Source organism: Homo sapiens, chromosome 14 (genome assembly GCF_000001405.40).
Source record: "Homo sapiens chromosome 14, GRCh38.p14 Primary Assembly".
NCBI lineage: Eukaryota > Metazoa > Chordata > Mammalia > Primates > Hominidae > Homo > Homo sapiens.
The window spans coordinates 63,769,764-63,785,908 of NC_000014.9; the positions used below are offsets into that span (position 1 = coordinate 63,769,764).

General features: G+C 42.6%; 1 protein-coding gene across 2 annotated transcripts in view, besides 1 other annotated feature; it reads left to right on the forward strand.

Moving 5' to 3' along the window:
- Positions 1–16,145, forward strand: part of SYNE2 (spectrin repeat containing nuclear envelope protein 2) — a 464,854-nt gene that overhangs the window by 8,168 nt on the left and 440,541 nt on the right. The gene's annotated exons all lie outside the window — the stretch shown is intronic.
- Positions 3,940–3,999: an enhancer, noted in NCBI's record as "active region_8518". NCBI's record gives its function as "activates an Ori minimal core promoter by ATAC-STARR-seq in GM12878 lymphoblastoid cells {active_cell/tissue: GM12878}" and the evidence as "EXISTENCE:reporter gene assay evidence [ECO:0000049][PMID:35858748]".

Sequence of the window (16,145 nt, forward strand, 5' to 3'; positions counted from 1 at the left end):
TGGCATGCACCTGTGGTCCCAGTTACTCAGGAGGCTGAGGCGGGAGGATCACTTAAGCCCAGGAGGTGGAGGTTGCAGTGAGCCAAGATTGTGTCACTGCACTCTAGCCTGGGCAACAGAGCCAGATCCTGTCTCAAAAAAAAATTCTAGGGGCAACATATATATATATTTGAGATGGTCTTGCTCTGTTGTCCTGACTGGAGTGCAGTGGCACAATCACAGCTCACTGCAGCCTTGACCTCCGCGGACAAGCAATCCTCCTGCCTCAGCCTCCCAAGTAGCTGGGACCACAGGTGTGCCATCATGCCTGGCTAATTATTTTTTATTTTTATCTTTTGTAGAGACAGTGTCTTATCATGTTGCCCAGGCTTATGTATAATATTGAACTAGTTATTTCATCTCATGATGTCTTATTGTACATAGTCATATGGAAAAACAAAATTAAAATAATGAAATACCGGGGGAAAGATGTGACATACTGCAAAAATACATTAAAACTCCAAGATCTTGATGTAAGCAATAGTGAAAAATACCCATAAAAATGTTAAGTAAAGCTAAACTCCCCTATCCTGTGTGGACTTGAATGCTACTATGCCACATTCATCGACCTCTTTGGGCTCCCTCTGGTGGCACATTAGTCCTCAGTGATAACTGAGTATTTTGGAGAATTTCTTGTAAATTCCTGTGGATGAAAGCTTCATTGAATAGTTTTTTAGCTAACCAGTCATAAATATTCAAATAAGTATAAAATGATGGCTGGGCACAGTGGCTTATGTCTGTAATCCCAGCACTTTGGGAGGCTAAAGCAGGAGGATCACTTGAGCCAGGGAGTTTGGGACCAGCCTGGACAACATAGTGAGACACTGTTTTTACCGAAATAAAGAAAAGGGGTGGCACATACCTGTGGTCCCAGCTATTCAGGAGGCTGAGCTGGGAGGATCATTTGAGCTCAGGAGATTGAGCCTGCAGTGAGCTGTGATTGTGCCACTGCACTCCAGCCTGGGTGACAGAGCAAGATCCCATATCCACTGTGTGAGCCACTGTGCCCAACCAAACATTTTTCAATAAAAAAAAATTTTAAATTCATCAACCCTGGCTTACAGAAGTCAATTTAAAAAAAAATTGAGAGACAGGGTCTCACTATATTGCCCAGGTTGGTCTTCATCTCCTGGCCTCAAGTGTTCCTCCTGCCTGGGCCTCCAAAAATGCTGGGATTCCAGGGATAAGTCATCATGCCCGACCTAAAATCAGTCAATTTTTGATGTTGGTGAGGAAATAGAGTCACAGAAACCCTTATACACTCTTTTTTTTTTTTTTTTTTTTTGAGACGGAGTCTCGCTCTGTGGCCCAGGCGGGAGCGCAGTGGCGCAATCTCGGCTCACTGCAAGCTCCGCCTCCCGGGTTCACGCCATTCTCCTGCCTCAGCCTCCCGAGTAGCTGGGACTACAGGCGCCCACCATCACGCCCGGCTATTTTTTTTGTATTTTTAGTAGAGACGGGGTTTCACCGTGTTAGCCAGGATGGTCTCGATCTCTTGACCTCGTGATCCGCCCGCCTCGGCCTCCCAAAGTGCTGGGATTACAAGCGTGAGCCACCGCGCCCGGCCCCTTATACACTCTTGATGTGACTGAAATTTTGCTAATGACTTTGGATAAAAATTTGGTATTGTCTTAAAAATTGAAAATGTCATTTCTAATCCAGCAATTTCACTCCTATGTATTTACCTTAGAGAAACTTTGGCACAAACACCAACAAACATATGTGGGAATTTCTTGGCTAAAGTGTTCATAATAGCAAAACCTGGAAACGTCATAGAAGGATAAAACTGTAGTGTATTAAAAACACTAAACACAGGCCGGGCATGGTGGCTTACGCCTGTAATCCCAGTATTTTGGGAGGCTGAGGTGGGTGGATCACCTGAGGTCAGGAGTTCGAGACCAGCTGGCCAACAGGGTGAAACCCTGTCTCTACTAAAAAAATAACGAAAATTAGCTGGGTGTGTGTGTGCCTGTAATTCCAGCTATTCAGGGGGCTGAGGCATGAGAATCACTTGAACCCAAGAGGCGGAGGTTGCAGTGAACCGAGATCACGTCACTGCACTTCAGCCTGGGCGATAGAGTGAGACTCTGTCTCAAAAAGCAAAAACAAAAACAAAAACTAAAATTGAAACACTATACAGCAGTGAAAATGGGTAAACCATAGCGGTAGGCATGAATATGGATGAGAACCTCAAAAATGCTAAATGGGGAAAAAACTATCACAGAAAAATATATAGAGCATGATTCCATTATGTAAAGGTCAAAGACAGGCTGGGTGTGGTGGCTCATGCCTGTAATCCCAGCACTTTGGGAGGCCAAGATGCATGCATCCCTTGAGCCCAGGCATTTGAGACCAAGTGTGGGCAGCATGGTGAAACCCTGTCTCTACAAAAAATACAAAAATTAGCAGGGTGTGGTGGTGTGCACCTGTGGTACCAGCTACTTGGGGGGCTGAGGTGGGAGGATTGCTTGAGGCCAGGAGGTTGAGGCTGCAGTGAGCTGTGGTCATGCCACTGTACTCCAGCCTGGGCGGCAGAATGAGACTCCATCTCAAAAACAAAAAAACAAACAAACAAAAAACCTCAGCAAACAGTACTTCTTTTCTCCATCAAGCTACCTATTAGCAATACATCTTTTACTTTTAAGAAATCTAAGCTATAGGTCAGGCGCGGTGACTCACACCTGTAATCCCAGCATTTTGGGAGGCAAAGGTGGATGGATTACTTGAGCAGGAGTTTGAGACCAGCCTGGCCAACACGGTGAAACCCCATCTCCACCAAAAATTACAAAATTTAGCTGAGTGCGGTGGTGTGCACCTATAATCCCAGCTATTCGGGAGGCTGAGGCAGGAGAATCACTTGAACCCGGGAGACAGAGGTTTCAGGGAGCCGAGACCATTCCACTGTACTCTAGCCTGGGCGGCAGAGCAAGATTCTGTCTCAAAAACAGAACAGAACAAAACAAAAATCTAAGCTACATTACTTTTTTTTTTGGAGATGGAGTTTTGCCCTTGTTGCCCAAGCCATAGTGAAATGAAGCCATCTCGACTCACTGCAACCTCCACCTCCCAGGTTCAAGTGATCCTCCTGCCTCAGCCTCCCGAGTAGCTTGGATTACAGGTGCACACCACCACACCTGGCTAATTTTTTGTATTTTTAGTAAAATGGGGTTTCACCATTTTAGCCAGGCTGGTCTCGAACTCCTGACCTCAGATGATCTGCACGCCTCGGCCTCCGAAAGTGCTGGGATTACAGGCATGAGCCACTGCGCCCAGCCTATATTACATTTTAAAAGAAGTTATTTGCCATTTTATTGTTGTTTATTATTCATATAATAAATTTTACTGTTTAAACTCCATTTTGTTATTATAAATTTATTTAAATGCTATTTATTTTATTGCTTAAAAAAATTTTTTTTGGACAGGGTCTCACTCTGTCACCCAGGCTGGAATGCAGTGGCTCAATCACGGCTCACTGCAGTCTCAACCACCCGGGCTCAAACAATCCTCCCACCTCAGGCCCCTAAGTAGCTGGTACCACGGGTGCACACGACCATGCCCTGAGAATTTTTGTATATTTTGTAGAGACAGGGGTCTTCCCATGTTGCCCAGGCTGGTCTCAAACTCCTGGGCTCAAGCAATCCACCCGCCTCACCCTTCTAAAGTGCTGGGATTACAGGTGTGAGCCACTGCTCCTGGCTAATACGCTACATTTTTTAAAGCCTATTTTTAAAATAAGTTTTTTCTTTGTTTGTTTTTACTTTTTTAGAGATGGGGGTCTCACTATGCTGCCCGTGCTAGAATATAGTGATTATTTACAAGTGCAATCATACCATGCTATAGACTGAAACTCCTCGGTTCAAACAATCTTCCTGTCTCAGCCTCCTGAGTAACTGGGACTACAGGCATGCACCAACATGCCCAGCAAAAAGAAGCTATGTTTAATATGGTTATTATGAGCAAGACTGTCATGTCTAAAGCAACAGACTTCAGTTTTACATGAAAAGTGCAGATACCAATGCATTTGCCTCTGATGATCTGTGATTATCCTTCTGATAGAATAATCTCTTGTTTGAGCTAAGCACATCTTGTTTGAAATACGATTATATATTTAGCAATCCTGACCTCTCATAGGACTTTTACACCTATAATAAAATTATTAATGCTTTGCATTTGTAAGGCATTTCATGGATTTTCAAGTGTCACTAGAAGACGTTTCCCTCATTGTACAGTTCAGAAAACTGAAGACAAGAGGCTGGGTGCGGTGGCTCATGCCTGTAATCCTGGCACTTTGGGAGGCTGAGGCGGGCAGATCACGAGGTCAGGAGATCGAGACCAGCCTGGCCAACATGGTAAAATCCCATCTCTACTAAAAATACAAAAAATTGGGCAGGCGCAGTGGCTCACGCCTGTAATCCCAGCACTTTGGGAGGCTGAGGCGGGCAGATCACCTGAGCTCAGGAGTTTGAGAGCAGCCTGGCCAACATGGTGAAACCCCATGTCTACTAAAGATAGAAAAATTAGCCAGATGTAGTTGTGGGCGACTGTAATCCCAGATACTTGGGAGGCTGTGGCAAGAGAATTGCTTGAACCCGGGAGGTGGAGGCTGCAGTGAGCCGAGATCGAGCCATTGCACTCCAGCCTGGGTAACAGAGTGAGACTCCGTCTCAAAAAAAAAAAAAAAAAAGAAAAAAAGAAACAAAAAAAGAAAACTGAAGACAAGAGAGAAGTTTTTTTCTTTTTTTTCTTTTTTGAGACAGGGTCTCGCTCTGTCACCCAGGATGTAGTGCAGTGGTGTGATCACGGCTCACTGCAGCCCCCATGTCCCAGGATCAAGCAATCCTCCTGCCTCAGCCTCCCAGGTAGATGGGACTACAGATGTGCATTACTACACTTGGCTAAAGAGAGGTTTTAATAAATAAAATAGCTATAATTTGGTAGGTAGAATTTAAATTATTGTATTAATAATTGTCTTCATATGCTATAACAAAATGCCATAAATTGCATGGCTTAAACAACAGTTTAAGCCATTTAATGAAATGCAAGGCAGCATGTTAGGCACTGACAGAATTACAGCATTAATAATATGACATGATCTGTGTCTCCAAGAAGCTTACAATGTAGGAAGGGCAATCTGCCAGTATTTTAATTTAATTTTATTTATTTATTTATTTACTTTATTATTTATCATTTTGAGATGGAGTTTCACTCTTGCCGCCCAAGCTGGAGTGCAATGGCATGATCTTGGCTCTCTGCAACCTCCACCTCTTGGGTTCAAGTGATTCTCCTGCCTCAACCTCCCAAGTAGCTGGGATTACAGGTGCCCACCACCATGCCCAGCTAATTTTGTATTTTTAGTAGAGATGGGGTTTCGCCATGTTGGTCTGGCTGGACTCAAACTCCTGACCTTGGGTGATCCACCACCTCGGCCTCCCAAAGTGCTGGGTTTACAGACATGAGCCACCACTCTTGGCCTTTATTTACTTATTTTTTGAGATGGAGTCTCACTCTGTTGCCCAGGCTGGAATGCAGTGGTGTGATCTCGGCTCACTGCAACCCCTGCCTCCCAGTTTCAAGTGATTCTCCTCCCTCAGCCTCCAAAAGTATCTGGGATTACAGGTGCCTGCCACAGTGCCCAGCTAATTTTTGTATTTTTAGTAGAGACTGGGTTTTGCCATGTTGGCCAGGCTGGTCTTGAGCTCCTGACTTCAGGTGATCTACCTGCCTCGGCCTCCCAAAGTGTTGGGATTACAGGCGTGAGCCACTATGCCAGACCTATTTTATTTATTACTATTTTTTGAGACAGGGTCTCACTCTGTTATGCAGGCTGGAATGTAGTGATGTTACCACGGCTCACTGCAGCCTCAACCTCCTTGCCTCAAGTGATCCTCCCGCCTCAGCCTCCAAAAGTAGCTGGGACTACAGGTGCGTGCCACCGCCCCTGGCTAATTTTGTTTGTTTGTTTGTTTGTTTGTTTTGTAGACATGGGGTCCCACTATGTTGCCTTGGCTGATCTGCCAGTATTTTAGGGGAGATATAGTAATAGCTTTTGTTAATGGGCTAAAAAAACTAGGCTTCTTCTCAGTTAACACATTAAAAAGAGCCCCTAGTACTTTTCCTTTACCATTAGACGCATACAGAGTGCATTTGGTAAATTAGTAAGCACACCAAGGGAGAGGCAACACACTGACCTATATCAATGTATTGTTTTTCATTTAAATAGCATCTTAATTCACTGGAGACTTTAAATGAATGTTTATTAGAATATTTACACCTATTGATTACCATGGTAGCAGATGATTAGTGAGTTCGATGCCACAATTAAAATGAAAATTCCTACTGCTCTGATGAACAGGAATGTCCAGATGATGGCAAGTCTGAAACTTGCAACAATCAGATAAATTATTGCATGAACCCTTAAGCAATGACAATCTTTTGCAAATATGTCTGATTCTAGAAGGTTCACACAATTATAGCTTTGGACTATTGAGAGGGTCTTAGTCCAATCCAGCTGCACACGTGCCTTTGAACTTAAGTAATATCTACTGTGAATAGCACACATTTCTCAGCACAAATCTCTTTGCCTTTTAGTTTTACTACCATAATGAAAATGTTAAATAGTACAGAATAATAATATTTATGTCAAAAATAGTAAGAGAGTTTTGCATTATAGATCCTTGGATGAATTCAAATAGAAAGAAATCAGAGGAGTATTTTACTGACAAATGATCCCACCTGCTGTCAAGTGGGCAGAGCTTTGAAGATCACCCAAGACTGGGAATTTCTTTTTTTCTTTCTTTCTTTTTTTTTTTTTTTTTCAGACAGAGTCTCACTCTGTTGCCCAGGCTGGAGTGCAGTGGTATGATCTCAGCTCACTGCAACCTCCGCTTCCTGGGTTCTAGTGATTCTCCTGCCTCAGCCTCCCAGGTAGCTGAGACTACAAGTGTGCGCCACCACCACCCAGCTAATTTTTGTATTTTTCGTAGAGATGGGGTTTCACCATCTCGGCCAGGCTGGTCTCAAACTCCTGACCTCAAGTGATCCGCCCACCTTGGCCTCCCAGAGTGCTGGGATTACAGGTGTGAATCACCATGCCCAGCCAAAACTGGAAATTTCTAAGCCAAAGATTATTTTTGTACACATTCACCATTCTTCTATAGGCAAACAAACTAAAATACATTGTTATTTAATTTTAGAGACTCCTAGAGATTTTCTAAACTAGGATTTGCAATTGTTTTTAAAAAACAGTGGCACACTACCTTTAAACAAAATCACATACAGCAGCCCAACATATTAAACTACTGTCTGGGAGGAGGTAGGAAATTCTTTATCTAACAAATGGGGAAAATCAGTAAGCTATATTATGAGGCTTTTAATGAGTAAGATGACTCACAGCTGAAAGAATTTGCCCTTGACTGCTATGACAGAATACTTTGTTAAAACAGAGGACAGTCTTGCAATTCAGAGCAAGAACAGTGGGAAACCATCTTTTCTATTCCATTCCCAGCAACTAAATTATTATGAATGGAAATATGTCCAAATGTGGTTAATATCTTCTACTTATACTTCTCATACAAACTGGTATACAGGCCAGGTGCAGTGCCTCATGTCTGTAATCCCAGAACTTTGAGAGGCTGAGGTGGGAGGATTGCTTGTGCTCAGGAGTTCAAGGCTGCAGTGAGCAGCCTAGGTGACAGAGCAAGACCCTGCCTCAAACAAAACAAAACAAAAACAAATTGGTGTATGAAACCAGTCTGAGACCTTCAGCTTTGAAGACTCACAGAAGATAATTATTATAATTTAAAATTTTCCACGTTACAGTTCTGTAATAGTGGAGTAGTTTGTATTGGATCAACATTCCCACATACAATAATAATATATATTTTAAAGACAGGGTCTCGCTCTGTCACCCAGGCTGGAGTGCAGTGGCTCAATCATAGCTCACTGTAACCCGGAACTCCTGGGCCTAAGGGATCCTCCAGCCTCAGCCTCCTAAGTAGCTAGGACAACAGGCACAGGCCATCATGCCTGGCTAGTTTTTAAATTTTTGGTAGAGGCAGGGTCTTGCTATGTTGCTCAGGCTGGTCTCAAACTCCTGGCCTCTATTGATCCTCCCATCTCAGCCTCCCAAATGCTGGGATTACAGGCATGAATCACCATGCCTGACCGAGAGTAGATCTTGAATGTTCTAACTACACATGAAAAAACAGTAACTATGTGAGGCAATGGATATATGATATGATATGGTTAGGCTTTATGTCACCACCCAAATCTCATCTTGTATTGTAATCCCCAGGTGTTGAGGGAGGAGGCTGGTGGGCGGTGACTGGATCATGGGGGCATTTCCCCGCATCCTGTTCTCCTGATAGTGAGTGAGTTCTCACGAGATCTGGTGGGTTTATAAGGCAGTTTTCCCTGCTCTTGCTCATGCCCTCTCACCTGCCCCGTTGTAAGATGTGCCTGCTTCCCCTTCCTCTGCAATTGTAAGTTTCCTGAGGCCTCCCCAGCCATGCAGAACCGTGAGTCAATTAAACCTCTTTTTTTTAATAAATGACCCAGTCTTGGGTTTGTCTTTACAGCAGTGTGAAAATGGATGAATACATGCTAATTAGCTTGATTGTGGTATTCATTTAACACTATATGCATATGTGAAAACATCATGTTGTACACCATCAATATATACAACTTTTAATTTTATTATTTTATTTATTTATTATTCTTAAAATTTTTCCTGAGACCGGGTCTTACTCTGTCACCCAGCCTATAGTGCAGTGGCATGATTATAGCTCACTGCAGCTTCAACCTCCTGGGTTTAAGTGATCCTCCCACATCAGACTCCTGAGTAGCTGGGACTACAGGCATGCACCACCATGCCAAGCTAATTTTTGTCATTTTTGTAGAGACAGGGTTTCACTCTGTTGCCCAGGCTGGTCTCAAACTGCTGGCCTCAAGTAATCCACCCACACTGGCCTCCCAAAGTGCCAAAATTACAGATTTGAGCCACCGCACCTGGCCCATTATTATTTTTTTGGAATGGGGTCTCACTATGTGGCCCAGGCTGGTGTTGAACTCCTGGCCTTAGTGATCCTCCTGCCTCAGTCTCCCAAAGTGTTGGGAGTCTCCCAAAGTAGCTCATGGCTATGAGCCACTGTGCCCAGCCTATAAGCACATACAATTTTATTTCATCAATGTTACCTCAGTAAAGCTGGGAGGGAAGAAAGAAAGAAATTAATCAACAGGCCAGACGCAGTGGCTCAATCCTGTAATCCTAGCACATTGGGAGGTTGAGGTGGGTAGATCACCTGAGGTCAGGAGTTCGAGATCAGCCTGGCAAACATGGTGAAACCCCATTTCTACTAAAAATACAAAAAAAAAAATAGCCTGACATGGTGGCATGTGCCTGTAATCCCAGCTACTCAGGAGGCTGAGGCAGGAGCATCACTTGAACCTGGGAGGCTAAGGTTGCAGTGAGCTGAGATCATGCCACTGCACAACAGCCTGGGCAACACGAGCAAAACTCCGTCTCAAATAAATAAATAAATAAATAAATAAATAAATAAAATCAGTAATCTAAATTTCCACTTTAAGAAGCTAGAAAAATACTCTGTTCCCCTTCTCACTACTGCGCTTGACTGGTCTCAAAAAAAAAAAAAAAAAGCTAGAAAACGAGGATCAGCTGCAAAAACCTCAGAGCTAACCTCACACAATCAGTGAAATATTGAATTATTTTTTGTAAGATCAGGAACAAGCCAAGACGTCCCCTCTCAACATTTCAACTCAACATTGTATTAGAAATCTTAGCGAATGCAAATAAATAAATAAATAAAAGGAACCGGGCACAGTGGCCCACACTTGTAATACCAGCACTTTGGGAGGCTAAGGTGAGCGGATTACTTGAGGTCAGGAGTTCGAGACCAACCTGGCCAACATGGCAAAACCCCATCTCTATTGCAAATACAAAATTAGCCAGGCGTGGTGCCACGTGCCTGTAATCCCAGCTACTCAGGAGGCTGAGGCAGGAGAATCGCTTGAACTGGGGCTTGAACTGGGGCGGGGTGAGCAGGGGCGGAGATGGGCAGAGTTTGCAGTTAAGAGAGCAAGACTCCATCTCAAAAAATAAATAAACAATAAAATAAACGGAATACAGATGGGAAATGAATAAGTAAAACTTTCAGTGTTCACACATATCATGATCATTAATTTTGGAAATCCAGGAATCTATAATAACTCTAGAATTAATAATCCCAAGATCATAGGACACATGGTCAATATTTTAAAATCAATGACATTGGAAATACAACTGGAAAATGAAATGAAAACAATTCTATTTACAATAGCATAAAAATACTTAGGAATAAATCTCACAAAAGCTGTGTAAGACTTCCACCCTGAACACTACAAAACAAACTGTACTATATTTATACAATGGAATACTACTCAGTAATAAAAAGGGGCCAGGCATTGTGGCTCATGCCTGTAATCCCAGCACTTTGGGAGGCCGAGGCGGGCAGACGATTTGAGGTCAGGAGTTCAAGACCAGCCTGGCAAACATGGCGAAACCTCATCTCTACTAAAAATACAAAACTTAGCTGGGCATGGTGGCAGGTGCCTGTAATCCCAGCTGCTTGGGAGGCTGAGGCAGGAGAATCGCTTGAACCAGGGAGGTAGAGGTTGTGGTGAGCCGAGATCATGCCACTGTATTCCAGCCCGGGCAACAGAGCAAGACCCTGTCTCTAAATAAATAAACAAATAGGATCAAACTATACAGTTTCTACTCTCTGCAAGTGAATAGGCTGAGAAAATTGTAAGGGACTCTGAATGGACATAAAAATTCTGCTTGTTAAGAACAAGTCTGGCTCTGGTAACTGACCTTCATAACTAAAATATAAAACTGTTTGAGAAGTATTAAAAAAAATGAACAAACTACTGAAGCCTACATCAACTTGCCTGAATCTTATTACATTGAACCAAAGAATCAAAAAAAGAATACATAATCTATGCTTCATTTGCATGTTGTTCTAGAACAGGGAACACTTATCTGTAGTGAAAAAATCAGGACAGAGTTTGTGGATGGCATTGGGATGGGGATCAACTGAGAAAGAAGAACAAAGGAGCTTTCTGGGGTGATGGGAATGTTTATCGGGAGGTTAAATGGGTATATTTAGTTGTTAAATGATACCCTTAAGATTCTTGGACACCAGGCACGGTGGCTCACGCCTGTAATCCCAGCCCTTTGGGAGGCCGAGGTGGGCGGATTACCTGAGGTCAGGAATTCGAGACCAGCCTGATCAACATGGAGAAACCTTGTCTCTACTAAAAATACAAAAAATTAGCCAGGCGTGGTGGTGCATACCTGTAATCCCAGCTACTCAGGAGGTGGAGGCAGGAGAATCGCTTGAACCCAGGAGGCAGAGGTTGCGGTGAGCCGAGATCGCGCCATTGTACTCCAGCCTGTGCAACAAGAGTGAAACTCCAACTCAAAAAAAAAAAAAAAGAAAGATTTGTGGACATCGCTGTATGGAAATTTTACCTGAAAAAATGGAAAAGAAGTATAAATAAATATTGAAATTCATGAGATTTGCTTTCCACAGTAGTATGAATTAGCAATCCTAAAAGTACCTCATTTGCATTCTAGGTTTGCGCAAATAAATAAGTATATAGGAAGATAATGAAAGCCACTTTTTTTTTCTTTTTTTTTTCTTGGAGACGGAGTCTCGCTCTGTCGCCCAGGCTGGAGTGCAGTGGCGCAATCTTGGAAAGCCACTGTTTTCTCACTGTTGGAAATGGAAGTTACACATATGGAGAAGAGGAGGGCTAGCATGAACCCCAGAGGTAGAGAGAGAGATGGACCTTAGGCCTTCTCTCTCTCTATATATATATAAAGTTATATTTATATACTTTTTTTCTAGCATTTTCTCCAGTGTGGGACTAGAAACAATGACACACCAATAGCAGTGAGCACACCTAGCACCCAGATTTGATTCCTTTATTTTCCTCTTGGGCTTGCAAAAGAATAAGGTAGTATAGAATATCCTGTGTCAAATTGGAAAAGTGTTTAAAAGGTCAGGAGCAGTGACTCATACCTGTAATCCCAGCACTTTGAAAGGCCGAGGCAGGAGAATCACTTGAGTCCAGAAGCTGGAGACCAACCTGGGCAACAGAGCGAGACCCTGTCTAAGAAGAAAAGTAGCCAGGCGTGGTGGCACACAGCTGTAGTCCCAACTACTTGGGAGGCTGAGGCAGGAGAATGGCTTGAGGCCAGGAGTTTGAGGCTGTTGTAAGCCATGTTCATGCCACTGCACTTTAAGCTTGTGCTACAGAGCAAGACCCCATCTCAAAAAAAAAAAACCAAAAACAAAAAATGAAAGAAAAGGGCTTAAAGAATGATTGGGGGCCAGGCACAGTGGCTCACGCCTGTAATCCCAGCACTTTAGGAGGCCGAGGTGGGTGGATCACCTGAGGTCAGGAGTTCGAGACCAGCCTGGCTAAAATGGTGAAACCCTGTTGAAAATACAAAAATTAGTCGGGCCTGTTTGCATGTGCCTGTAATCCCAGCTACTCAGGAGGTTGAGGCTGGAGAATCACCTGAACCCAGGAGGCAGAGGTTGCAGTGAGCTGAGATCACACCATTGAACACCAGCCTGCCAACAAGAGTGAAACTCCATCTCAAAAAAAAAAAAAAAAAAAAAAGAGTGACTGGAACACATCAAAAGGGACAAAAGATCTAACTTGAAAGTCTCTTACCAGCCAAATTCCAGGCAATTTGATCATCAAAATAAATAATGATAGAAATGGAGTATTACCCATTGAATAAAATAAGACTCTGTGAGCCCGTATTGATAAGAATTAATGAATAAATAAATAAGAAAGAAGAGAAAACTTTTACTTGTAAGAGAATGCCAACTACAAAGTGTAGAAGAAATGGTAAAGTGAAATATTATTAGCAGATGCCAAAACTAGTGGGTAAAACATGACAGAATATTCACATAGTATAAAAGTACTTTCCCATGAATTACTTAATATTAAAATTACAAATATATAAAATCAATTATTTGTAAATTAAATTGAAATAATTAAATTTTGTTTAATTAATATCCTCAAATATTAATTAATATAAAATATTAATTTTAAAATGGAGAAGTCTGGTGGCCATCATCTTCACCTGGTGATTATAGTTAACATTAGCGATATTGGGACAATCTGACATATGTCTCCTGATAAAATGCTTTAAGAAGGATATTGATATGGTTTGGCTGTGTCACCACTCAAAATCTCATCTTTGATTGTAATCCCCATAATCCTCTTGTGTCAAGGGAGAGACCGGGTGGAGGTAATTGAATCATGGGAGCAGTTCTCCCATGCTATTCTCATGATAGTGAATGAGTTCTCGCGAGATCTGATCGTTTTATAAGTGTTTGGTAGTTCCTCCTGCGCTAATTCTCCTTTTTGCGGCCTTGTGAAGAGGGTATCTTGCTTTCCCTTTGCCTTCCGCCATGATTATAAGTTTCCTGAGGTATCTCCAGCCATGGGAAACTGTGAGTCAATCCCTTTATAAATTACCCAGTCTCGGGCACTTCTTCTTCTTCTTTTTTTTCTGAGACTGAGTCTTGCTCTGTTGCCCAGGCCGGAGTGCAGTGGCGCGATCTTGGCTCACTGCAACCTCCGCCTCCCGGGTTCAAGGAATTCTCCTGCCTCAGCCTCCTGAGTAGCTGGGACTACAGGCGCACGCCACGACGGTCTCGGAGACTTCTTTATAGCAGTGTTAAAACGGACTAAACAGATATAGTATCACTTTTGTGGTATTCCTGCCAAAAATGCATAACCTGAATCTAATTATGATGAAACATAAGACACATCCAAATTGAATAACATTCTACAAAATATCTGGCCAGAGGAGCAGTTCCAGACTAAAAGAGACCAAAGATTGCCTTTATAACTGCCAGAAAAGAAAAAGAGAGATCAAAGACTCATTACAACTAAATGTAAATATGTAATCCTGGCTTGGATCCTGGACAAGGAAAAAAGAAATAGCTGTGGAGGACTCTATTTGAACAATTTATGAAATTTGAACAGGGACTGTAGATTCAATAGTATGGTATCAACGCTAAACTTTCTGATTTAGGTCATTGTACTGGTTATTTAAGAGAATGTCTTTGTATTTAGAAAATACACGCAAATGTATCAAGGGGTAAAGAACACAGTTGCCCTCTATACCTGGTAACAACTTAACTTTAAGTGGTTCAAAAAATATACATGTGCATATATGTGCATGCATGCATACAAATAAATGTGTGTCATAGAGAATGATGAAGCAAGTGGTGCAAGACAGAAACCATTTGTGGGTCTAGTGGGTAGATAGGAATTCCCTATACTATTCTTGCAAGTTTTTTTGGTAAATTTGTAATTTTTTGGGCCAGGTGCGGTGGCTCATGCCTGTAATCCCAGCACTTTGGGAGGTTGAGGCGGGTGGATCACGAGGTCAGGAGTTCGAGACCAGCGTGTCCAATATGGTGAAACCCTGTCTCTACTAAAAAAAAAAATACAAAAATTAGTTGGGCATGGTGGTGCACGCCTGTAGTCCCAGCTGGTCGGGAGGCTGAGGCAGGAAAATCTCTTGAACCTGGGAGGTAGAGGTTGCAGTGAGCTGAGATCGTGCCACTGCGCTCCAGCCTGGGCAACAGAGTGATACTCCATCTCAAAAACAAACAAACAAACAAACAAACAAACAATTTTTGTTTGTTTGTAGAGATGGGTCTCTCTATGTTGCGCAGACTGGTCTCAAAGTCCTGGGCTCCAGTGATCTTCCCACCTGGGCCTCCCAAAGTGCTGGGATTACAGGAATGAGCCATGGAGCCCAGCTATAAATTTGTAATTATATAAAAATAGTTTATGCTGAGTGAAGTGGCTCATGCCTGCAATCCCAGCATTTTGGGAGGCAGAGGCAGGAGTATCACTTATACCCAGGAGTTCGAGACCAGCCTGGGAAACATAGAGACCCTGTCTCCTATAAAAATAAAAATATATAAATAAATAAGTATAGTTTTAAAAGTTATTTGCACCACCTATATATCATATGTATAAGTGTACCTGCACACATATGTGTTTGTTTATGTGTGTACATCTACTAAATTCAGTGGTGGACTGTTATTTTTTTGGGGGGGTGAGGGGTGTTGTATTTGTGAATGTAGGAAAAACACAAGCTCTTTGTGTTAAGTTTGAAGTGGTGATCCTCATTCTTAAGGAAAACAAACCCTCTTGTATTGATAAGTCCCACTATTCACTATTCCTCAAATGTTTTATTTTTGTTTTGGAAATATTGAAGAGTTGGGAAAATATATCCCACCTTACTTTCACCCTTAATCGGAATTGGCACACTTCAGGCCAGGCACGGTGGCTCACACCTGTAATCCCAGCACTTGGGAGGTCAAGCGGGCAGATCATCTGAGCTCAGGAGTTCGAGACCAGCCTGAGAAACATGGCAAAACCCCGTCTCTACCAAAAATACAAAATGTAGTTAGGTAGGTGGTGCACACCTGTGGTCCTAGCTACTTGGGAGGCTGAGGTGGGAGGATTGCTGGAACCTGGGAAGTTGAGGCTGCAGTGAGCCATAATTGTGCCACTGCACTCCAGTCTGGGTGACAGAGTGAGACCCCATCTCAAAAACAAAACAAAACAAACAAACAAAAAAAACACCTGGCACACTTCATATCCAGAATCTATTAGGATTAACTCCCAGTTACAATTTCAAACCTGTTCATGAAGTAATTATGGTCTATTTACCTGCTTCTAGGGATGAATTGCTTGAAGGAATTGGCATGATCCAAAAAAGAACCATGTGCGACAAGTGTGGATATCTGTCCACAAAACGTACAAGATTCTGTACTATCTTTTGATATGTGGCTATGTCTCATAAAACCAAAGAAATATGAAGCTTTAGTGAAGCTTTTTTTAAATCATTATTGACATTATACACACACTTGGTTTAAAGACTCAAGTGATTTAACAAGTTTTGTTAAGAAAAACAGCACAGGCATGGTGGCTCACACCTGTAGGTCCAGCATTTTGGGAGGCCAAGGCAGGAGGACCAATCGAGCCCAGGAGTTCAAGAC